Raw genomic sequence first — 20,756 nt, 5'->3', positions numbered from 1 at the left:
GGTTGCCCTCCTGAAGTATCTTTCTCCCTCTCATGTCTGAGTTTGTTTCATGTCACCATGTCTCAGTCAAGGTATAGTGTCCGGCACGCAGGCCCAGACTTGCTTTATGACAAGGGGGCAGTGAGCTGTTGCAAGACTGCAAAGGCTGGACAGAGTCGCAAAGGCAAGGCCAGGTTGGAGGGAAGGGGAGCTCAGGGAGCCAGCAGTGCATCGCCAGCAGGCCAGCTGGGCCGGGCAACTCGGGCGTCCACAGGCCGCTGCAGGGACCCGGCAGGCAGAGGGAGCTGGGCTTCAGAGAGGTTGGGTCTTCCCCACCCCAGGGCAGCTCTCCTGGAGGCACGCCTCGGTTTCCCCCACTGTGTCTTCTCTGCCTGCCGTGTGCAAGGCCACCTGGTCAGCCTGTGGAGTCAGACCACCCGTGGGCCTTAGCCGTTGTGTGGGAGAACAGGCTGCGTCCCAGGCAGGGTGGGCGCTGCTGGTGGGAGCCCCAGGTGGCCTTCGACCTCAGGATTTTGCACTGCGGTATTTGGGTTTAAGAAGTCAGTTGATGGTACCAAATCTGATGTCCTCAGAAGTGGTCTGGCTTCTGTCCTGAGGAGACTCCTGGGCCTGTGCAAAGAAGCTGCAGCCATTGCTGGGGCACTGCCTGGCGCCCTGGGAGGGCCGGGTGATGAGGGCAGGGGAAGCTGGGGCACAGGGGCCGTGGGCTGGTTCTGAGCTCCAGCCTATTGTCACCTGCCGGCATTTCTAGAGCCCGCCTCTCCCACCCCTACTCGTCCTCGGGGCTGGTCATCTGCCACCTCCTGATCCTAGACATGAAGAGAGAGCCGAGAGGACAAGGCAGCAGGGCCCTCTGAGTGGAGGGGCGCACCTGCGGGCAGCAGTTGGGAATCCAGGGCAGGCTGCATCCCTTCTGGAGCCTCACGCCCTGGGATGCTCCCCATGGCTCGGTTTCTCTAAACAGCAAGCACGTATCCCATAAGTGAATGGGTACCAAGAGTCCAGGGGTGCCTCAAGATCAAATTGTTCTCGGGCCAGATGGAGCAGGCCTGCGTCCTGTTTTCACTGCTGAGAGTGTGCAGTTGGCAGGAATGAGGATGGAGGCGAGATGTGCAGACGCTCAGCCAAAACCTTCGGCTCCCATCTCTCCATCTGCCTCCTCGGGTCAGCAAGGCGACTGTCCAGGCAGGCTGCACCCGTTTTGGTGTCCCAGGGAACAGAGACTGCAGAGATCAGAGTGGATAGGCCCCTCTCCCCAGAAGGTGCGTTCTGCTGCCCCAGCACAAGGCTGGGGGACAGTGTGTGTTTCTGGATGGCTGACTCCTTTTTCTAGAGGAAGGGAGGTTGGCCCTTCATCAGAGGGCAGGCTGGGAGTGCCTGCTAGGGAGTCACAGCTCCAAGTGAGTGCCAGCCCAGAGCCTGGCTCACCCAGGTCCCCTTGAAGATGCCTCCCTGGAAACTGTTGCTGAAAGCCTAGGGGTGACTGAGCCCCTGCCTGGCCTGCCAAGCCTGAGAGTGGGGAGTGTGCAGGTGGAGGGCACGCCATGCTGCCCTGGGTGGAGTTAGAGAAGCAGCTCTCCCTGTGCTCTCCCTCCAGGCCTGCTACCTGTGCCACAGCTTGCTGATGCTGGCCGGGGTAGTTGTTAGCTGCCAGGACATCACTCCAGACCAGTGGGTGAGTCTCCCAAGGGGCAGGGCTGTGGTGGGGGTGCCCAGCTGTGTCTTCTCCCCCAAGCGGCGGGGGTTGGCTGGGATGGCGCCCAGCCCACTGTTAGGAACTGCAGAGAGTGGGAGGCTGAGAGGGAAGCCAGCGTGGGAGAGCCAGGGCCTCTTCCTCCCCACAGTGTCCCACCAGCTGAGCCATTCCCAAGGGACACTGACCCGAGCCCCAACAGTTGTGCTGGCCCCATCCTCCTTTTCCTCCTCAACTTCTGAACAGTCACTCAAATGTGCCCCTTCCTTTCTCTGAATTTGTTCTCCTCCTGCCCGGCTTTGGATGTGCCTGGCTTGTGCTACACCCGCTTCTTGGCCTCCCTCCGCCTCCACAGGGCGAGCTGCAGCTGCTGTGCATGCAGTTGGACCGCCACATCAGCACGCAGATCCGGGAGAGCCCCCAGGCCATGCACCGCACCATGCTCAAGGACCTGGCTACCCAGACCTACATCCGTTGGCAGGAGCTGCTGACCCACTGCCAGCCCCAGGTGGTGCCCCCTCTAGCCCCCAGACCTGGGAGGGGCGGGAAGTGGTCAGGCAGGGCTGGCCAGAGCCACCAGCACATCCACCCCCGCTGCAGCTGCTGAGCTCCTGGCAGGGATATGGGTGGAGTGGGCATGTGGGGGAAGGGTGGGGACGCCTTGAGGGGCCTTCATCATTCTTATCAAGAATCCAGTGCCAAAGGCTGGGCGTGGTAGCTCACGCCTGTAATCCCAGCACTTTGGGAGACTGAGGCGGGCGGATCACAAGGTCAGGAGACCAGCCTGGCCAACATGGTGAAACCCGTCTCTACCAAAGATTAAAAAAATTAGCCGGGCGCGGTGGTGTGCGCCTGTAATCCCAGCTACTCTGGAGGCTGAGGCAGGAGAATCCCTTGAACCCAGGAGGCGGAGGTTGCAGTAAGCCCAGATCGTGCCATTGCACGCCAGCCTGGGCGACAGGGCAAGACTCCATCTCAAAAAAAAAAAAAAAAAATCCAGTGCCCAGGGTGGGTGCGGAGGGAAGGGGACACAGAGAAGCGCAGTCCTCAGGAAATGCAAAGAAAAGTCACCCTGGAGAGGGAAAAGTCTGGACCCAGAGTGCCAGTCTTTCATGAGCAGTGCCAGGAAGGGGCCCCAGCTGTTCACTTGTGCTGTGGGCCTGAAGCTGGTCTCCTGCTGTGTTAGGAGGAAGGCTCCCAGGCTGCCCTGGTCCTCTCCACTACACCCCCTACCCCCGCCGAGTTTTCTCAGAGCCTGTAGGTGTGATAGTCACAGCTAGTGTTTCTTGAATGAAGATCCGTTTCTCAAGAACCCACACAACCCCCATGAGGCAGGTGTTGTCAGGAGCCCATTTTACAGATGAGCAGACTAACCAGAGGCCCTGAGAGGCTCGGTGGCTTGCCCCCCATCACGCAGGCAGCTTGTGTGAATGTCAGAATCAGGGCATGAGCCAGCCTGACTCCCAAGCCTCTGACCTAACCAACTTCAGCCCCTGTGCTGGTGCCCTCCCTTCCGGCCCCATCTCTCCAACAAACAGCACCCTGCTGGGCTGGCTCGGGGTCTCCTCCCTTCCTGAGCCCCCAGTCCTCTATGGAGGGGCACAGGACCTGGTGAGGACCACCCCCCACCCCACCACCAGTGCCCCTCCTCTCCTAGCCTGCCTCTTCTTGACTCCTCTTTTGTCCTTCCCCTATAACCTCTGACTTAGGTCTGACACACTGGCCACAGGCTGTGGTTTGGGTCTCAGATTTCGCCAAGTCTCTGAGAAGGCTGGAGAACAAACCTCACCCTCACTCCCCAAGGAACTAGATCTCACCAGCCTCTGGTGGGAGCAGTGTGCTTGTCACGAGAAGAAGGAAAAGTGATTCAGGGCCTGGTAGAGGGGCCCTGGGAGACCACTTATACGGTCACGTAGCCTGATGACCGCTGTGTCCTCGCCAGTAGTGTGAACCCAGGCATCCTGCTCACTCGGCCCCTGGCATGAGCCTGCGATGGGTGCTGAATGGACACCGCCAGCCCGGGGAGCTGCAGGGCAGTGGGCAGCACCTGGGCCCAGGCCCTCACAGCCTGCTTTTCTCCTCGCCGCAGGCCCAGTATTTCAGCCCCTGGAAAGACATCTAAAGGGACAGGGTCAGGGCAGCCCAGGGCTCCTGGCTTCAGCAGGAAGTGAACAGGCTCAGGGAACTGGAGGAAGCGAAGCATCAAGGCCAGAGGAGGCCACATGCTGACCAGCCTGATGAGGCAAGAGCCTGCCCCTGCCACCGCCCCGACCCCTCTCCTCTCTGCAAGAGCCTGCCTCTGCCACCGCCCCGACCCCCTCTCCTCTCAGCAAGGGATGGGCCTCTCTGCCTCGCCCACCCCTCAGCCCTCCTCCCAGCCATCTCCTCTTCCCTAAGGCCTCTGTCTCCATAGCTCTGGTTTCCCTGGGCCTCAGTCCTCCCCACCCTCCTTCCTCTGTCTCCCTGTCACTAATGTGAGGTTTCTTTGTGCACATTAAAGTCTTCTTTCAGCATCAGTGGTTTAGAACACTTCCTTCAGTCCCTGTCCCGAGGGCTCATGCCAGCGTCCAGTCTCCTGATGCCTCTGCCTGTGTTTCGCTGGGTTCTTAGCTCGACAGTTACAGCACTGGGGCCCAGGCCCAGGTCCTGCCTGTAGCAGAGGGCTGTCTGCAAGTCCCCGGGGAGGGGCAGTGCTCCCTACAGCCCACTGTGGCCCAAGAGCTGTCAGAAACCCAGGAATGGGACGTTTGTTTGGACCCAGTCTGGGACCACTCCCCATTCCCCGCCCCTGCTGAGGAGGACGCACAGAGTGAGATGTGGATCAGGGCTGTAATTACACTTAATTCCATTTAGTGCTGAGCTCTGAAATCAACTCCCCAGCCTCAGGAGTGGGGGCAGTTCAGAAGACACTTCCAGATGCTGCTTTTGCTTTTCCTCCGACTTGCCCCAGATGAGTTCATGGGACCTGATCCCTAATAGGGTCCTAGGTATCTTTGACCTGAACCCCTTGAGAAGGGAGTGGTCCCTTTGTGCTCCAGGAGATCTACTTTGCCCACTCCTCCAACCCTGAGAATCCACATTTAGTCCCCGGCCCCTCCTGACCCTTCCTGGGTTTGGATGGGGTTTTGCAGGTGACACAAGAGGTAGCTAGGCAGTGGCAGAGGATTGCCCCTGCCACACTGGACTGTGCCCACTCCTCAACTCAACCCTGGCTGTCTGCTAATTCTCCCATGGCGGCTGTGTACAACTCTTCTGCTTTTATGTACCCCTCCCTCTCCGGCTTTCATGCACAGGGATAGGGTGGGCAGGCTAACTAGGAGAGAGACTCCCCCAAAATAAAGGACTTTCAGGCTAAGTGGCTCAACATGCAGACCCAAAGTGGAGTTCACCAGTTCCTGGGGCTGTTTCAGACACAGCTGCCTCCCTCACTGCATCCCCAGAATGCTAGGAGCTGGGGGCATCTATTATTCAGGGGCACGGGCACACGCACAGCACAGTGCTGGATACCACACAGGACGCCTTTCTGCCTAGCAGCCTTTGCCAAATGAGAGGGGGAAGAAACCCTCGGCCAGGGTGACTTAGATGCCAAGCGACCTCCGTGACAGTTCAAGTTTCTGTTCCTGGCTGCGTCACATGCCCCCATGGCCCGGGCACCCCCGAAGCCCCGGCAGCATCAGGTCAACCTCAGATCCTCCAGTGAACGAGCAGGGACTATGGTGAGCCAGCCTCCTTCACCCGCCCTCGGGCTGCCCTGCTCCAACACTGCATGCACTGACAGTTCATCTGTAGCTATTCACTTTTCTCTGGAAACCTGGAAATCACCTTTGAAATTTCCCTTCTTTGTTCTTACTGCCAAGGGCAAAGAGGAAGTAGGGAGGCCTGAGAAGCTAAACAGGGGGAGTTTCCAGTTCTCGAAGGTGGCCCTACCTGGCTCTGAGAAGGAGCCGAGCTGTCCATCAGCGTCGATAACTGGAGCCTTCCTCCCCAGTCCTGGCTCTTGTCCACTGTCCCCTCCTCTACTGCTCCCCAAACATACCCATCCCCAAGAGAGAAATAGATACCAAGGGGAGAGGAGGTGTCGGTGACGACTCAGTCCCTCCAGAGACCTGGCTGTAACCCGAGCAGAGGTGTGCACTGTGAGGTCGCCCAAGGGCGTATGCTGTCCCCTGGGGTGTGTAATGGGCCCTCTCTGGGACTGGCTGGGAGCTGACCAGATCTTCTAAAACTAGTCTGGGATCGGTTAGAGACTCAGCCTCCCCAAGGTCCAGATTTTCACAGTGGTGCTGGCAATGTGACCACTTGCCCTCCAGATCTTTGACTTTTCCAGATCCCTAAGCCCTTGGGAAAAGGCTGGGGGATATCCTGATAGGAGCCACTGGAAAATCCGCATCCGGGGCTGTGATGACGGATGTTTTCCTGCTTCCTTTTGGTACTGGTGACAGGGAGGGGCTGGGAAGGGAAAGACATCCCAGGTGGGCAGCTTTGATAACTCTCCTTTGGAGGAAGTAGGGAGGGAGAGTCCTTTTCCTATGTCCCTAGTCACCTCGGTCCCCAGGCGCGCTGACCCAAGCTTTCTCACTTCCCCATCTGTGGGATGACGGCAGTCCTGGCTGCCTTGGAAATCCACCAGGCAGCGTTCACCAGAGAACCCAGTGTCCACCCAGGGCCTCCCTCTGGCTGCCTCAGGAGAGCTAGTAGGTGAGTAGCTCAAATGAAGGGCAGTGTGGCCCCCAACCAACATCAAGAGATGGGAAGGGGGACTTGCTTTTCAGGAAAGACTCTTTAGGTCATCTCTAGGGGCTGGCCTGAGCTGCTGGGTGATCTTTGAAGACCCTTGAGAGTCATTTAGCACAATTTCTGTGTCTTTCCTTGACACGACCACAAGCAGTTGTCAAGGCCTGAGTCCCAAAGTGTGGATACCTTCCATAGATATGCTAGGCCCTAGGGAGACTAGTCAGGTACGTGCACCTCCCCCCACCCCCGGTACCTGTATTAGTAATTTTTTTATTAATTGAAGACCCAGAAATCTTTTTTTTATATCAGTTGTACTTTCATTTAGAAGTATGAATCATGAGCAAGTAGTCATGCAGGAAATTGTATCCTCTGCCCACCCACCCACAGAAAGGGCCAGTGCTGGAATGGACAGAATACAGCAGGAAGTGCATGAAGGTGGAAAAGGGGAGGGAGCTGGGAGCTTATCTCCGAGAGCGTTTGGGAGGATAGGCGCGTGGAGTCTGTTAGCTGGAGGCTTCTACATTCCTGGGCCTCCAGAACCCAAACGCCTGCCGCTGCCCTGCCAGTGAAACCAAACCGGTTGCCTTTTGAAACTTTCCACTGAGGCCACCTTGGAGTCAGAGCCAGCGAGCTCAGGTCTCTCCTGGTAACCTTCACACCTAGAGGTGGGGGGATGGGGGAGCAGTATTGAAGGTGAGGAAAAACAGCATGAAATGGAGCATTGTCAGGATAGATGGTGACTCTGTGGAAAAACAGAATCGGGAGTCCCAAGACCTGATTTAAAAATCTGAACTTTCCAGTCTGAGCAATATAGCGAGACCCTGTCCCGTGTATGATGGTGTGCACCTGTAGTCTTGGGAGGCTCACGTGGGAGGACCGCTTGAGCCCAGGAGTCTGAGGTTACATTGAGCCATGACTGTGCCATTGCACTCCAGACTGGGCAACAGAGTAAGACCCCGTTTCTAAAAAAGAAATTCTGACCTTTTTATCTCCATGACTTGGGGCTAGTTGTTTAATCTTTTTTAATTATCTCCATGACTTGGGGCTAGTTGTTTAATCTTTTTTAATTATCTCCATGACTTGGGGCTAGTTGTTTAATCTTTTTGACTCATCTCCAAAAGGGGAGCAACAATACTTATTTTTTTAATTTTGTCGAGGCAGGGTCTCGCTCTACAGGCTGGAGTGCAATGGCACAATCACAGCTCACTGCAGCCTCAACCTCCTGGGCTCAAGCGACCCTCCCACTCCAGCCTCCTGAGTAGCTGGGACTTACAGATGCATGCCACCACGCCCCCGCTAGTTTGGTTTGTTTGTTTGTTTGTTTGTTTGTTTTTGAGACAGAGTCTCCTTCTGTTGCCCAGGCTTGAGTGCAGTGGAGTGATCTTGGCTCACTACAAGCTCTGCCTCCTGGGTTCACGCCATTCTCCTGTCTCAGCCTCCCGAGTAGCTGGGACTACAGGCGCCCGCCACCACGCCTGGCTAATTTTTCTGTATTTTTAGTAAAGACAGGGTTTCACCATGTTAGCCAGGATGATCTGGATCTCCTGATCTCGTGATCCGCCTGCCTCAGCCTCCCAAAGTGCTGGGATTACAGGCGTGAGCCACCCCTCCCCGCCACGCCCCGCTAGTTTTTTTTTTTTTTTAATTTGGGGCTGGGCGTAGTGGCTAATCCCAGCACTTTGGGAGGCCTAAGCAGGTGGACCACCTGAGGTCAGGAGTTCGAGCCCAGCCTGACCAAAACGGCGAAGTCCCATCTCTACTAAAAATACAAAAATTAGCTGGGCATGGTGGCGCATGCCTGGTCAACATGGTGAAACCCCGTCTCTACTAAAAATACAAAAATTAGCCAGGTCTGGTGGCAGGCACCTGTAATTCCAGCTACTTGGGAGGCTGAAGCAGGAGAATCACTTGAACCCAGGAGGTGGAGGTTGCAGTGAGCCGAGATCGCGCTATTGCACTCCCGCCTGGGTGACAGAGTGAGACTCTGTCTCAAAAAAAAAATAATAATAATAATTTCTTTTGTAGAGACAGGGTCTCAGTATGTTGCCCTGGCTGGTCTTGAACTCCTGGGGTCAAGTGATCCTCCCATCTCAGCCTCCCAAATTACTTACTTTTTAAAGGGTGGTCATAAGGGTGAAGTAAGAAAATGTACATCAAGACAAGCTGCAAAAATCTAAAGCACAGAACACAAGTGAGGGCACTTGCATCTCAGTTTACCCTCCGCTTGAATAGATACGGGGAATAAACTAAACACGAGGGTGACACACCTTCTCCCACCTTGTCAGCTGAAGCAGGAGGCCTTCCCTGCCCACCCCATGGTCATTATCTCCAGCATCTCCAAGGCCACAGCTTTTTTTCTTTTTCCTAGTGGAAAAGAGCTGGGAAACGTGGCTTTGGCCAGCAAGGGAGAAGGGGCCATTATGTGTACCAGCAAAGACCCGATTGTTACTGAAACCAAACTGGGCTGCTTTTCTCAATTATCTCCACCACTTTTCTGGTCTCCACTTTTCAGATGCCAAGTTTTAACCCAGAACAAAAGCTGCTGTCGGACTGATTTATAATCCAGATCTGCTGACGCAGCCTGAAGTGTTCCTCCCCTCCAGGACTGCACCCTGGCTTAAAGTTACCTCCAAACCTCAGGACGTCAAGCCCCTTCACCTCTGCCTTTTGCCCCTAGCCAGGAGGTAGCATCTGTCTCCAGGTGCCCGTGGGGTGTCCTCCATGAGGACCACCTCTTCTAACCACCTGCCCAGCTCAGAGGACCAGCTGGCAGGAAAGACGCTGCACCGCCCATGAGGCCAGAGCTACAAGTTGCTTCTAGGAGTGGCTGTGGGCGGAGGCTGGTGGTTCTGAAGGTGGCGGTGGTTCTGCAGCGTGGCTCCCCACAGCCCCTTTCATCTGAACAGTAGGGCTCATGCCACTTGTTAATCAGCCTTCCAGTGGCACGAGGAGTCATTTTCTGGGGATAGGCGCTTTGCCCAAAGCGTGAGAAGCAGGAGCAGGCCCTTTCTGTTGATTGAAGGGTCTTCCTGGCTGGTGAAGCCCTTTCCAGACTTGAGGGCAGGGACCAGTGGTCCTCGGGGCCTAGAAAGAGGCAGAATTGGGGGCCAAACGGCAGACCCCTCTGGTCCGCCCCAAAAGACGCCTCGGTTCCCCCAGCGTGCCTCCCCTGGATACTCGCCTCGACGTGGCTCGCCCGCGGTCGTTCCTGCAACTGCACGGTCGGGAGTCCCTCTCCCCAGCCCAGCCCGCCCGGAGTCTTCGGGGGACACTTCAGAAAGATCGGGTGAGTGTGATTCCCCCGTGGCCATACCCGGAGTCCCTCCCCCGCCCCACCTCCCTCCAGGCGCTGTGGCGCAGCCCGCGACTCCGAGCCCCGGGGCTGCTGGACACCCGGAGGGGTTGAGGTCCGGGCACCCAGAGAGGCGGAGGTCCGAGCCCCCGGGCGGAGAGCGGGCGGGTCCACAGGTCGCTGCGGGTCGCAGCCCCCTCCTGAGCGAGCCTTCGCGGCCCGCCCCCGGCCTCCGCTCGACCCCCCCAGCCTGACGTCAAGGGGAAGGGGGCGGAGAGCCGCGGCCGCGCTGGAGAAAGAGCCGGCGCCCGCCGTGGTGGCGCGGGGAGCCCGAGCCTAGGGGCGCGGAGCCGGGCGGGGACGGAGGGGCGGTGGCAGAGAGGCCGCGGAGGGCTGGCGGGCGAGCGCGGGCAGGCGGCGACGCGGGGGCAGGGGTGGACGGCGGTCAGAGCCGAACGCGAGGGCGGCGCCCGGGGACTGGAGCTGCGCGCAATAGGTGAGCGAGGCCGGGCTTGCGTGAGGCTGGAGCCGCGGGGCCCCGGAGCCGCCGCTTTGTCCCTTTGCTTGGGCAGGGGCTGCCGGACGCGGGAGGGACAGGGGCTGGGGCGCGGGGAGCCGCGGCGGCGGAGACGGCTGTACGCGGGGATCCTTCCTGCGACCCCCGCGGCTGCTTCGCAGGGTCTCGGGAGTGGGGCGCACAGCACCTGCAGCCCCGCAGCCCCGGGGCCGGAGGGGCGCGCCAGCGAGGGTTCCTCGCGCGGTCCGGTCCGCGGCCGGGATCCTCGCCAGGCTCCTGGACTGCCCTCGGCGCTCCCACCCCCGATGGAAAGTTTGGGGCGGGCTTGGAGGGAGGCCGATGTTGTGGGATCGGATTTCCCTGCCGCGGCCCCCCGCCCGCCCGCCCATTCCGCTGGGGAGGCGGGTTGTCCCGGAAAGCCAGGCCCCCGGGCCGAGCCGGGCCGCGCCGTCCCCGGCTGGAGCGCTCGCCCTGCAGGGAGGGCCGCGGTCCACGGCTGGCCGCTCGGGGTGGGCGAGGGTGTGGGGTGCCCCGCCTGGATCCCGCACCCCTCCCCCCAACCCCTCCTCCCGGCTGCCCGTTTCCTCGCCCTGGGGGGAGCTGCGGGTGGGAGCACCGCTGCCGGGCGGATCCTCGGAGCACGCCACGGGGTGCGGCCCGATCCTCGGGTAAGGAGCCGAGATGAGGCCGCGGGCGTTTTGGGGGGCTGGTCTGGGGCGCAGCCCCCGCTCTCCCGCGCCGGGGCTCTGGGCCGACAGGGGGCGTCCGCAGGCCGGGCTCGCCACGCTCCCCGCGCCGCCGCTTTGTTTGCGTTCAAATCCCTGGAGCTGGGGGAGGGGAGAACCCGGGGGGACCCGGGACGGGGTCTTGGCGGGGACCCTTTGTTTGGGGGTGAGCAGGTCCCCAGCTTCTGCGTCTCCGCCCCTGGCACGGGAAGGCTGGAGCAGGGGAAGCCAATCCCGCTGGCCCGCCCAGGCCAGGGTCCCTGGGGCGCAGTCCCCGAGTTGGGAAGGTTCGTCAGAGTCGCGGGAGCGCAGCGGGTGCCGGCCGTGCGCGGCGCGTTGCCAGCGGCCCGGGAGGAACCCCCTCGCGTCCCCGCCCCTACCTCCCCCCGTCGCCTGCGCGCGCCGCCGGAGTCCCCGACTCGACCCGAGCTCGGTCCCCCCACCGCCCCTCCGCCAGAGGGCTGGTGTTTCGGAGGAGGCAGTGCGAGGAACAGGATGAGGCCCTGGTCATTTCCACGCCCATCCCACCCACTTCCTGCCTCCCTCTTGGGCAACAAAGGGGCCTCGGGAAGCTGGGCCCCTTCGCTCCCGGCCCTTCTCACACTCCTGCCCTGCTGATGTGGAACGGGGTTTGGGGTTCTGCAGGGCTATTGTCTGCGCTGGGGAAGGGGACAGGCCGGGACCGGGACCTCCGCTCGCAGCCGGCCGCACCAGGTTTCCCCTTTGGGGCTTTCCCGACCGCCTACCCCACCGCATGCCCTCGTCGCCCTAAGGAGTCTTCCTCCCAGAATTAGGTGTTGGCAGGGTCCGGAGCCCCAGTGGCTGCAAGGCCTGCTGCCTGAGGTTCTTTCAAGAAACTCAAACCTCTTAGGCCTGAGTGTGTATGTTGGGCGGGGGTCCCCTTTTTATTTCTCAAATGATTTCCTGTTGCGCAGAGGTAGTGGTGGGTCTGGAGGCCAGGGAGGGCTTCCCGGAGCCTGTTTAGCCTTCAGCCAACTCAACTCCTCCCCGCTTCCCAGGGAGACCTGTGGTCTTTTAGGCAGAGGCCAAGTGTGGGGACTTAGGTCCACCTCCAAAGAGAAGGGGAAGGAGGGCACCGGGGCTCCTGGAAGGCCTGATGAGGAGTCCTGTGGCCTCTCCTGCTGCGGGCCCCTCTGGTTTGCTTTCTCTGGCTGTGATTTCTGACCATGTCTTTTCCCTCAGCAGGACAGCTGGCCTGAAGCTCAGAGCCGGGGCGTGCGCCATGGCCCCACACTGGGCTGTCTGGCTGCTGGCAGCAAGGCTGTGGGGCCTGGGCATTGGGGCTGAGGTGTGGTGGAACCTTGTGCCGCGTAAGACAGTGTCTTCTGGGGGTGAGTGCCTGGAGGGGTGAGGAGGAAGTCAGGGACAGGCTGCTGAGGAGTTGCCCCCATAGTGTGCTGGCTTTATTCTCACGTGTGTGGCACAGCTTTCTAAGAAACTCGAGTTGGAAGAACGGGCAGTGTGGGTTGGGACCTGGGATTAGCCTCCTCTGGGGGAGCTCTGTCCAACTCCCCACCCCAGACTGCCTGCCCAGGTGTGGGAGGGGGAGAGCCTTCTGCCTCGCCCTCTCCACGCCTCGCTTCTTGAATTGTCACTGGCGCTGGGAGCCTAAAGAGAAACTGGAACCGGGATAAATATAAACTGGAGGCTCTCTCCCCTGGCTCCCCAGGCCCCCCTAAGACCTCCTACTGCCCTGTACACATCATACACTCTGGTGGCCCTGGAAGTGTGTGTGTATGTGCACATGCTCGCATGGTTGCCGGGGCACAGCGGGGACCCAGCAGTGCTCCCTGTGCACACACCCGTGTGAAAGGTGATGTCAGGTGTTTGTATCAGCCGTGCGCTCTGGGGACCTGGGATGAGCTCACCTCCCACAGGCTCCACTCGGGTGCCAGTGAAGCCCTGCCATGCCGGTCTGTGTCTGGATCCATTGTTGCCTGCAAAGACTAAGGCTGGTTTGGGGGGACCCTGAGGACAGGTCGGCAGCCATATTTGGCAGCTGATGTAGGAATCACGTGACTGTATAAATGTCGTAGTGCCCTGCATGCCGGGTGGCAGCAAGACTTCCCAGGCCCCAGCCCCATCTCCGCTCTCTGAGCCTCTGGTTTCTCCGGACCTCCCTGGCCTGGCTCACAGCCCAGCTCCCCTCCTGCCATCCCCACCTGTCCTAGTGGCCTGCTGTGCTCGCATCTCTGGCAGCCTGGATTGGGGTCCTGCTGGAGTGAAGGGTTTCCTGAGGCAGGGAGTACTCATAGCCGTCTGTGCCTCCTGCTCTGCTGGACTCTGATAGAGGCAGTGGGCAGCAGGGCAAAGAAGGAAGCAGCCGCCGAGGAAGCGAAGGTGGGGTGGGGGTGCCCAGCCCTGCGGCCGGAGGTGCCATTGACCCTGAGAGCAAGAGCCATCAGTCTGATGGCTTCCTCTGGCCGGAAGCTGTGGCTGAGATATCCTTCCTTCCTCCCAGCAGCCTGGATTTGCCTCCTCCCAGGCTGGGAAAGGCTAGGGAGGCCCAGGTGGGGCTGTCAGGGCCAAAGGCTGTTTCAAAAGTGTCCTTTATTGCCAATCAGGGGGTTTGGCTGGCATCTGCTTGTGGCATGGGGTGCTGGCTCTCGTGGAGCAAGACTGAGGGCTGTCGAGCCCCAGGGGTCCTGCCCATCAGCAGCCATGCTTACCCCTGCAGAGCTGGCCACGGTAGTACGGCGGTTCTCCCAGACCGGCATCCAGGACTTCCTGACACTGACGCTGACGGAGCCCACTGGGCTTCTGTACGTGGGCGCCCGAGAGGCCCTGTTTGCCTTCAGCATGGAGGCCCTGGAGCTGCAAGGAGCGGTGAGAGGTGGGGCAGTGGGAGGCAGTCGGGCCTGCCAGAGGGCAAGGCCCAGAGGGGCTGTGCTTGGCTAGGTGGTCCCTCAGCCTGGCTGCCCCCACAGAAGTGCTGCTGGGCATCCGGGGCCTGCCCTCTGGTTGGGGTCAGCATGCGGCATTCCTCTCCTCTCTGGCACTTACTGAATTCTGTGTAGTGGGGTGGTTTGGGGCTTCCATTCTGTACTAAAGGAAGTCCCCAGAGAATAGGGACCATGCCTCTGCACTGGGCGTCCCTGTGTTGCTGCTGCAGGCTGTGCTTGTGACACGTGCTCAGTCCGTACCTGTAACGTGGCTGACATCCCCTTCCCTTTCCCCAGATCTCCTGGGAGGCCCCCGTGGAGAAGAAGACTGAGTGTATCCAGAAAGGGAAGAACAACCAGGTGGGTGCTTGGACGCTGCTCCTGGTGCTGCCTTCACCCCAGGACGTCTCCTCCCATTCTGGCCCTCGCGCTCTCACTAACCGGACACCTTTCTGCCCCCAGACCGAGTGCTTCAACTTCATCCGCTTCCTGCAGCCCTACAATGCCTCCCACCTGTACGTCTGTGGCACCTACGCCTTCCAGCCCAAGTGCACCTACGTCGTGAGTGCTGCCCTCCTACCTCGGTGTCCCCAGCCCCCCGCCCTCCTCACCCTTCTCTGGACTCGTGGATGTGGCCCACAGAGCCCTGCCCTTAAGCATCTCCTCATCACCTCTCTCTCTGTCCTTAGAACATGCTCACCTTCACTTTGGAGCATGGAGAGTTTGAAGATGGGAAGGGCAAGTGTCCCTATGACCCAGCTAAGGGCCATGCTGGCCTTCTTGTGGGTGAGTGGCTGCCCCCCATGCAGGCTGGGTGAGTCCTTGGGGCTTGGTTCCACTTGGGTCTGTGTTGGCCGGATGTGTCCATACCTCATGTGTGGCCTAGCTGACCTCTGTCTCCCATAGATGGTGAGCTGTACTCGGCCACACTCAACAACTTCCTGGGCACGGAACCCATTATCCTGCGTAACATGGGGCCCCACCACTCCATGAAGACAGAGTACCTGGCCTTTTGGCTCAACGGTGAGCCACCGGGGGGCCTGTGGGAGCCATGGGTGGGAGGTCCCCCGGGGCCCAGCCCCTCCCTGCTGACCTCCTCCCCTTCCCACAGAACCTCACTTTGTAGGCTCTGCCTATGTACCTGAGAGTGTGGGCAGCTTCACGGGGGACGACGACAAGGTCTACTTCTTCTTCAGGGAGCGGGCAGTGGAGTCCGACTGCTATGCCGAGCAGGTGGTGGCTCGTGTGGCCCGTGTCTGCAAGGTACCGAGTCTCACAGCGGTGGGCCCTGGGAGCCCTGCTGGCCCAGCGGGGCTGACCGGCAGTGTCCCCTTGCCGTCTGCCAGGGCGATATGGGGGGCGCACGGACCCTGCAGAGGAAGTGGACCACGTTCCTGAAGGCGCGGCTGGCATGCTCTGCCCCGAACTGGCAGCTCTACTTCAACCAGCTGCAGGCGATGCACACCCTGCAGGACACCTCCTGGCACAACACCACCTTCTTTGGGGTTTTTCAAGCACAGTGGTGAGTTGGCCAGGGCTCCCACAGAGTGGGGAGGAGCTGGGGTTCAGGTCAGGGACGGTGCATGGGTGGGAGCCTGGACCAGGCCTCAGAGGCAGTCCCGGAAGCCAGGTGTCCAGAAGCCAAGGAGAATGCTGGCACCTGCCCCTTTCAGAGCTGCCTGTGAAGGGGCAGGGCCCCATGCCAGGTGGCACTTGAGCTGCCAGGGCATTCTGGTACCCATGGCCAGTTTGTGCCAGGCCCTGCCTTCCTGCTGCTTGCCCTTAGCTGGGGTGGGAAGAGATAAGGTGGGTACCTGACCCTGGGCTCCCTCTCGCTGTGACAGGGGTGACATGTACCTGTCGGCCATCTGTGAGTACCAGTTGGAAGAGATCCAGCGGGTGTTTGAGGGCCCCTATAAGGAGTACCATGAGGAAGCCCAGAAGTGGGACCGCTACACTGACCCTGTACCCAGCCCTCGGCCTGGCTCGGTGAGTGCTAGGGCAGGGATGCATCTCCCCACCCAGCTGCGGTGCCATCCCACCCTGCTGATGGCCTGCCCCCCACACCCTGCCCCCAGTGCATTAACAACTGGCATCGGCGCCACGGCTACACCAGCTCCCTGGAGCTACCCGACAACATCCTCAACTTCGTCAAGAAGCACCCGCTGATGGAGGAGCAGGTGGGGCCTCGGTGGAGCCGCCCCCTGCTCGTGAAGAAGGGCACCAACTTCACCCACCTGGTGGCCGACCGGGTTACAGGACTTGATGGAGCCACCTATACAGTGCTGTTCATTGGCACAGGTGGGTGCATGGGTATGCAGGCATGGCTGCTCAAGGCTGGGCAGAAGCCCGTGTGCCCAGGGCAGGGAGATTTGGAGCTGCCCCACGGCCTTGTGCCCTCTCATTTACACCTTCTCCTCTGCACCCCCCAGGAGACGGCTGGCTGCTCAAGGCTGTGAGCCTGGGGCCCTGGGTTCACCTGATTGAGGAGCTGCAGCTGTTTGACCAGGAGCCCATGAGAAGCCTGGTGCTATCTCAGAGCAAGGTAGTAAGTTGGGCCCTATCTGCCACTGTCCCCAGCACTATCCCATCTCACTCTCTCCATCTGGCTGCTTCTCCCAGTTGGGCCTATGTGCTTGGCCAGTGCAGAGTTAGGAACACACACACATGTGGATGCACACCTTGCCTAACTTGGGGTGGGTTCCTGGAAACGAGAATGAAAACAGAATGGAATCTGCACTGCACAGGGCCATTATATATAGCCAGGTCACGGGGCTGCGCTCCCAGCATCAAGCCTTGGCAACTGCTCCCATGTTTCTTTCAGACCCTCCAAGCTGTGCTGTGGTTCTGGCTCTGGCCTCTTCCCTGACCATGCCCCTGTGACCAGACCTCCCAGGCTGTGAGATGTTTATGATGCCCTCACCATGGTGGTTTTCCTTCCAGCCCCCATTTCCGTGACTGTTTCCCTGAAGTGCTTGCATTATACCCTTGTGCAATACTCTTTTTGGTTTTTTTTTGAGATGGAGTCTCACTCTGTCACCCAGGCTAGAGTGCAGTGACGCGATCTCAGCTCACTGCAACCTCCACCTCCCAGGTTGAAGCTATTCTTATGCCTCAGCCTCCTGAGTAGCTGGGATTACAGGTGCCTGCCACTATGCCCAGCTAAAGGTTTTTTGTTTTTGTTTTTGTTTTCTTTGAGATGGAGTCTCACTCTGTCGCCCAGGCTGGAGTGCGGTGGCATGATCTCTGCTCACTGCAACCTCCACCTCCCGGGTTCAAGCAATTCTGCCTCGGCCTCCCAAGTAACTGGGACTACAGGCACGTGCCACCATGCCCAGCTAATTTTTTTTTTTTTTTTTTTTTTTGAGATGGAGTCTCGCTCTGTCACCCAGGCTGGAGTGCAGTGGCGCAATCTCGGCTCACTGCAAGCTCTGCCTCCCAGGTTCACACCATTCTCCTGCCTCAGCCTTCCATGTAGCTGGGACTACAGGCTCCCATCACCACGCCTGGCTAATTTTTTGTATTTTTAGTAGAGACGGGGTTTCACCGTGTTAGCCAGGATGGTCTCGATCTCCTGACCTTGCGATCCGCCCGACTCAGCCTCCCAAAGTGCTGGGATTACAGGCGTGAGCCACTGCGCCTGGCCAGCCGGCTAATTTTTGTATTTTTAGTAGAGACAAGGTTTTACCATGTTGGCCAGGCTGGTCTTGAACTCCTAACCTCAAGTGATTTGCCCACCTCAGCCTCCCAAAGTGCTGGGATTCCAGGCATGACCTGCTGTTCCTAGTTGCCTTGTGCAATACTCTTGTGGCATGTTTGCTACACCTCCTGAACTTTGATTTGTTTGCCTTTTACCAGCTATTATGACTCAAAATTGTCCCCTAGAACATGGAATAATGGCAGAAAGAAAGTGTGTGGTTGAATAAACACACAGATTGGCATCCACCGTTGAAACAGGAAAACATCTTATGTTATGCTGCTGCTGTTGTGAGGGCTGATGGGCCTTGAAATGTATTTCCTGCACTATGTGTGTGTGAGTGTGTGTGATTATACTTTTTGGCCTCACAGCCCCATCATCCCTTTCTAATAACGTCACGTCGATAAGGGGCTTAGGATTGCATCTGGCCTGTGTAAGCCCTCTGAGTTCTGCGGTTCTTAGAGTTCCCTTTTCAGCACTATAGCTCTGCCTTGTTCCCTTGTTCCTCCTTCTGGCGCCCCGTGCTGTGCCCCCTGCAGGAGTCCAAGCTGTCCCCATGCTGCGTTCTGGTCCGGCCGCCCCTCCCGTGGTGTGGCCCTGGCCGACCCCCCTCCTGCGCCCCGCTTTTCTCGCAGAAGCTGCTCTTTGCCGGCTCCCGCTCTCAGCTGGTGCAGCTGCCCGTGGCCGACTGCATGAAGTATCGCTCCTGTGCAGACTGTGTCCTCGCCCGGGACCCCTATTGCGCCTGGAGCGTCAACACCAGCCGCTGTGTGGCCGTGGGTGGCCACTCTGGGTGAGTTGGGCTCTACATAGGCCAGGACCTCCAGGGACTCAGGGTGGTTGGAGCCAGGCTGCTGATGTACCCTACATCCCCTACCAGATCTCTACTGATCCAGCATGTGATGACCTCGGACACTTCAGGCATCTGCAACCTCCGTGGCAGTAAGAAAGGTGAGCTTTTTCATTCCCGTCGCATCGGGCTGAGCCCTGGACCAGAGCTGGAGTTTCTGTTCTCCTCTTCCCCAGCCCTGCTTTCCTGCACTAACATGCACTCTGTTTTCTCTGCCACTACAGTCAGGCCCACTCCCAAAAACATCACGGTGGTGGCGGGCACAGACCTGGTGCTGCCCTGCCACCTCTCCTCCAACTTGGCCCATGCCCGCTGGACCTTTGGGGGCCGGGACCTGCCTGCGGAACAGCCCGGGTCCTTCCTCTACGATGCCCGGCTCCAGGCCCTGGTTGTGATGGCTGCCCAGCCCCGCCATGCCGGGGCCTACCACTGCTTTTCAGAGGAGCAGGGGGCGCGGCTGGCTGCTGAAGGCTACCTTGTGGCTGTCGTGGCAGGCCCGTCGGTGACCTTGGAGGCCCGGGCCCCCCTGGAAAACCTGGGGCTGGTGTGGCTGGCGGTGGTGGCCCTGGGGGCTGTGTGCCTGGTGCTGCTGCTGCTGGTGCTGTCATTGCGCCGGCGGCTGCGGGAAGAGCTGGAGAAAGGGGCCAAGGCTACTGAGAGGACCTTGGTGTACCCCCTGGAGCTGCCCAAGGAGCCCACCAGTCCCCCCTTCCGGCCCTGTCCTGAACCAGATGAGAAACTTTGGGATCCTGTCGGTTACTACTATTCAGATGGCTCCCTTAAGATAGTACCTGGGCATGCCCGGTGCCAGCCCGGTGGGGGGCCCCCTTCGCCACCTCCAGGCATCCCAGGCCAGCCTCTGCCTTCTCCAACTCGGCTTCACCTGGGGGGTGGGCGGAACTCAAATGCCAATGGTTACGTGCGCTTACAACTAGGAGGGGAGGACCGGGGAGGGCTCGGGCACCCCCTGCCTGAGCTCGCGGATGAACTGAGACGCAAACTGCAGCAACGCCAGCCACTGCCCGACTCCAACCCCGAGGAGTCATCAGTATGAGGGGAACCCCCACCGCGTCGGCGGGAAGCGTGGGAGGTGTAGCTCCTACTTTTGCACAGGCACCAGCTACCTCAGGGACATGGCACGGGCACCTGCTCTGTCTGGGACAGATACTGCCCAGCACCCACCCGGCCATGAGGACCTGCTCTGCTCAGCACGGGCACTGCCACTTGGTGTGGCTCACCAGGGCACCAGCCTCGCAGAAGGCATCTTCCTCCTCTCTGTGAATCACAGACACGCGGGACCCCAGCCGCCAAAACTTTTCAAGGCAGAAGTTTCAAGATGTGTGTTTGTCTGTATTTGCACATGTGTTTGTGTGTGTGTGTATGTGTGTGTGCACGCGCGTGCGCGCTTGTGGCATAGCCTTCCTGTTTCTGTCAAGTCTTCCCTTGGCCTGGGTCCTCCTGGTGAGTCATTGGAGCTATGAAGGGGAAGGGGTCGTATCACTTTGTCTCTCCTACCCCCACTGCCCCGAGTGTCGGGCAGCGATGTACATATGGAGGTGGGGTGGACAGGGTGCTGTGCCCCTTCAGAGGGAGTGCAGGGCTTGGGGTGGGCCTAGTCCTGCTCCTAGGGCTGTGAATGTTTTCAGGGTGGGGGGAGGGAGATGGAGCCTCCTGTGTGTTTGGGGGGAAGGGTGGGTGGGGCCTCCCACTTGGCCCCGGGGTTCAGTGGTATTTTATACTTGCCTTCTTCCTGTACAGGGCTGGGAAAGGCTGTGTGAGGGGAGAGAAGGGAGAGGGTGGGCCTGCTGTGGACAATGGCATACTCTCTTCCAGCCCTAGGAGGAGGGCTCCTAACAGTGTAACTTATTGTGTCCCCGCGTATTTATTTGTTGTAAATATTTGAGTATTTTTATATTGACAAATAAAATGGAGAAAATGAAACGATTGCTCTGATGGGGCTAAGATGTTTGGGCTAAAGCCTTTCTGGGTACCAAGAGGGAAGGCTCTCTGGGTGGAGGGAGGCTGGACTGGGCCTCCCCCACAATCCCAGGGCAGCCACCACTTTTGTGGTCCCTGCCTGCCTGTGGGAGGGGACAGCCCAGCTCTAGTGTTTTCCCACAGTGGTGGCTGCGGGGCTGGGAACGAGACCATGGCCATAGCCCCTTGGGAGCCAGCCTTGGCTTCTGGCCAGAAGGAGAAGTCAGGGCACTGGGAGTCCAGGGGAGAAGCGGAGTGGTGGGGGGGGTGCCTTCCCAGAACTCAAGACGGGTAGTGGGAATGAGGGGCCAAAGGAGTGGAAGGTTGTGGAGATGAGATCATTGCTTGTGTGAGGATGGGGTTCTCAA

At 59.5% G+C, this 20,756-nt stretch overlaps 3 protein-coding genes across 17 annotated transcripts in view, besides 12 other annotated features; 2 read left to right on the top strand and 1 right to left on the bottom strand.

Moving 5' to 3' along the window:
- The window catches only part of FAM178B (family with sequence similarity 178 member B), a 110,696-nt gene extending 106,490 nt beyond the window's left edge, over positions 1–4,206 (top strand). For all 3 annotated transcript variants that reach the window (NM_001122646.3, NM_016490.5, NM_001172667.2), the window contains 3 exons: positions 1,598–1,675; positions 2,049–2,201; positions 3,783–4,206. In NM_001122646.3, the coding sequence (NP_001116118.2) occupies positions 1,598–1,675; positions 2,049–2,201; positions 3,783–3,815 (264 nt within the window). In that variant the 3' untranslated portion in view covers positions 3,816–4,206. The remainder of the gene's footprint in view (positions 1–1,597; positions 1,676–2,048; positions 2,202–3,782) is intronic.
- Positions 3,530–4,290: an enhancer, noted in NCBI's record as "H3K4me1 hESC enhancer chr2:97541538-97542298 (GRCh37/hg19 assembly coordinates)". NCBI's record gives its function as "activates a minimal SCP1, AML or CMV promoter by ChIP-STARR-seq in naive H9 embryonic stem cells {active_cell/tissue: H9 hESC(naive)}" and the evidence as "EXISTENCE:reporter gene assay evidence [ECO:0000049][PMID:30033119]".
- Positions 4,291–5,051: an enhancer, noted in NCBI's record as "H3K4me1 hESC enhancer chr2:97540777-97541537 (GRCh37/hg19 assembly coordinates)". NCBI's record gives its function as "activates a minimal SCP1, AML or CMV promoter by ChIP-STARR-seq in naive H9 embryonic stem cells {active_cell/tissue: H9 hESC(naive)}" and the evidence as "EXISTENCE:reporter gene assay evidence [ECO:0000049][PMID:30033119]".
- Positions 5,376–5,685: an enhancer, noted in NCBI's record as "active region_16235". NCBI's record gives its function as "activates an Ori minimal core promoter by ATAC-STARR-seq in GM12878 lymphoblastoid cells {active_cell/tissue: GM12878}" and the evidence as "EXISTENCE:reporter gene assay evidence [ECO:0000049][PMID:35858748]".
- Positions 5,726–5,785: an enhancer, noted in NCBI's record as "active region_16234". NCBI's record gives its function as "activates an Ori minimal core promoter by ATAC-STARR-seq in GM12878 lymphoblastoid cells {active_cell/tissue: GM12878}" and the evidence as "EXISTENCE:reporter gene assay evidence [ECO:0000049][PMID:35858748]".
- Positions 6,352–6,852: an enhancer, noted in NCBI's record as "H3K4me1 hESC enhancer chr2:97538976-97539476 (GRCh37/hg19 assembly coordinates)". NCBI's record gives its function as "activates a minimal SCP1, AML or CMV promoter by ChIP-STARR-seq in naive H9 embryonic stem cells {active_cell/tissue: H9 hESC(naive)}" and the evidence as "EXISTENCE:reporter gene assay evidence [ECO:0000049][PMID:30033119]".
- LOC124908044 (collagen alpha-1(I) chain-like) lies at positions 8,968–11,717 on the bottom strand. Its single transcript, XM_047446878.1, has 3 exons — positions 11,673–11,717; positions 11,342–11,506; positions 8,968–11,063 (listed from the first exon to the last, which is right to left on the bottom strand). The coding sequence occupies exons 1-3, from the start codon at positions 11,715–11,717 to the stop codon at positions 10,056–10,058; spliced, it is 1,218 nt and encodes a 405-aa protein (XP_047302834.1). The 3' UTR covers positions 8,968–10,055.
- Positions 9,261–20,373, top strand: SEMA4C (semaphorin 4C). 13 transcript variants are annotated; one of them, XM_047444831.1, is made up of 15 exons: positions 9,261–9,713; positions 12,165–12,313; positions 13,660–13,808; positions 14,162–14,224; positions 14,327–14,425; positions 14,554–14,650; positions 14,771–14,887; positions 14,976–15,127; positions 15,211–15,386; positions 15,709–15,853; positions 15,943–16,165; positions 16,297–16,409; positions 18,197–18,354; positions 18,442–18,512; positions 18,636–20,373. In XM_047444831.1, the coding sequence occupies exons 2-15, from the start codon at positions 12,205–12,207 to the stop codon at positions 19,463–19,465; spliced, it is 2,502 nt and encodes an 833-aa protein (XP_047300787.1). In that variant the 5' UTR covers positions 9,261–9,713; positions 12,165–12,204; the 3' UTR covers positions 19,466–20,373. The 13 variants fall into 13 exon arrangements, with proteins under 13 accessions (XP_047300787.1, XP_011509682.1, NP_060259.4 ...); XM_011511380.2 differs by having other exon boundaries at positions 9,602–9,713; positions 12,168–12,313; NM_017789.5 differs by lacking the exon at positions 9,261–9,713 and adding an exon at positions 10,011–10,215 and having other exon boundaries at positions 12,168–12,313.
- Positions 9,689–9,978: a silencer, noted in NCBI's record as "silent region_11788". NCBI's record gives its function as "represses an Ori minimal core promoter by ATAC-STARR-seq in GM12878 lymphoblastoid cells {active_cell/tissue: GM12878}" and the evidence as "EXISTENCE:reporter gene assay evidence [ECO:0000049][PMID:35858748]".
- Positions 10,019–10,118: a silencer, noted in NCBI's record as "silent region_11787". NCBI's record gives its function as "represses an Ori minimal core promoter by ATAC-STARR-seq in GM12878 lymphoblastoid cells {active_cell/tissue: GM12878}" and the evidence as "EXISTENCE:reporter gene assay evidence [ECO:0000049][PMID:35858748]".
- Positions 10,149–10,218: a silencer, noted in NCBI's record as "silent region_11786". NCBI's record gives its function as "represses an Ori minimal core promoter by ATAC-STARR-seq in GM12878 lymphoblastoid cells {active_cell/tissue: GM12878}" and the evidence as "EXISTENCE:reporter gene assay evidence [ECO:0000049][PMID:35858748]".
- Positions 10,239–10,338: a silencer, noted in NCBI's record as "silent region_11785". NCBI's record gives its function as "represses an Ori minimal core promoter by ATAC-STARR-seq in GM12878 lymphoblastoid cells {active_cell/tissue: GM12878}" and the evidence as "EXISTENCE:reporter gene assay evidence [ECO:0000049][PMID:35858748]".
- Positions 10,659–10,818: a silencer, noted in NCBI's record as "silent region_11784". NCBI's record gives its function as "represses an Ori minimal core promoter by ATAC-STARR-seq in GM12878 lymphoblastoid cells {active_cell/tissue: GM12878}" and the evidence as "EXISTENCE:reporter gene assay evidence [ECO:0000049][PMID:35858748]".
- Positions 10,869–11,488: a silencer, noted in NCBI's record as "silent region_11783". NCBI's record gives its function as "represses an Ori minimal core promoter by ATAC-STARR-seq in GM12878 lymphoblastoid cells {active_cell/tissue: GM12878}" and the evidence as "EXISTENCE:reporter gene assay evidence [ECO:0000049][PMID:35858748]".
- Positions 13,422–14,083: an enhancer, noted in NCBI's record as "H3K4me1 hESC enhancer chr2:97531745-97532406 (GRCh37/hg19 assembly coordinates)". NCBI's record gives its function as "activates a minimal SCP1, AML or CMV promoter by ChIP-STARR-seq in naive and primed H9 embryonic stem cells {active_cell/tissue: H9 hESC(naive and primed)}" and the evidence as "EXISTENCE:reporter gene assay evidence [ECO:0000049][PMID:30033119]".
- Positions 20,374–20,756: the final 383 nt, after the last annotated feature.

This window comes from Homo sapiens, chromosome 2, assembly GCF_000001405.40.
Source record: "Homo sapiens chromosome 2, GRCh38.p14 Primary Assembly".
Classification (NCBI taxonomy): Eukaryota; Metazoa; Chordata; class Mammalia; order Primates; family Hominidae; genus Homo; species Homo sapiens.
The sequence above is the reverse complement of the archived record's forward strand: the minus strand, read 5'-3'. Positions and strand labels throughout refer to the sequence as shown.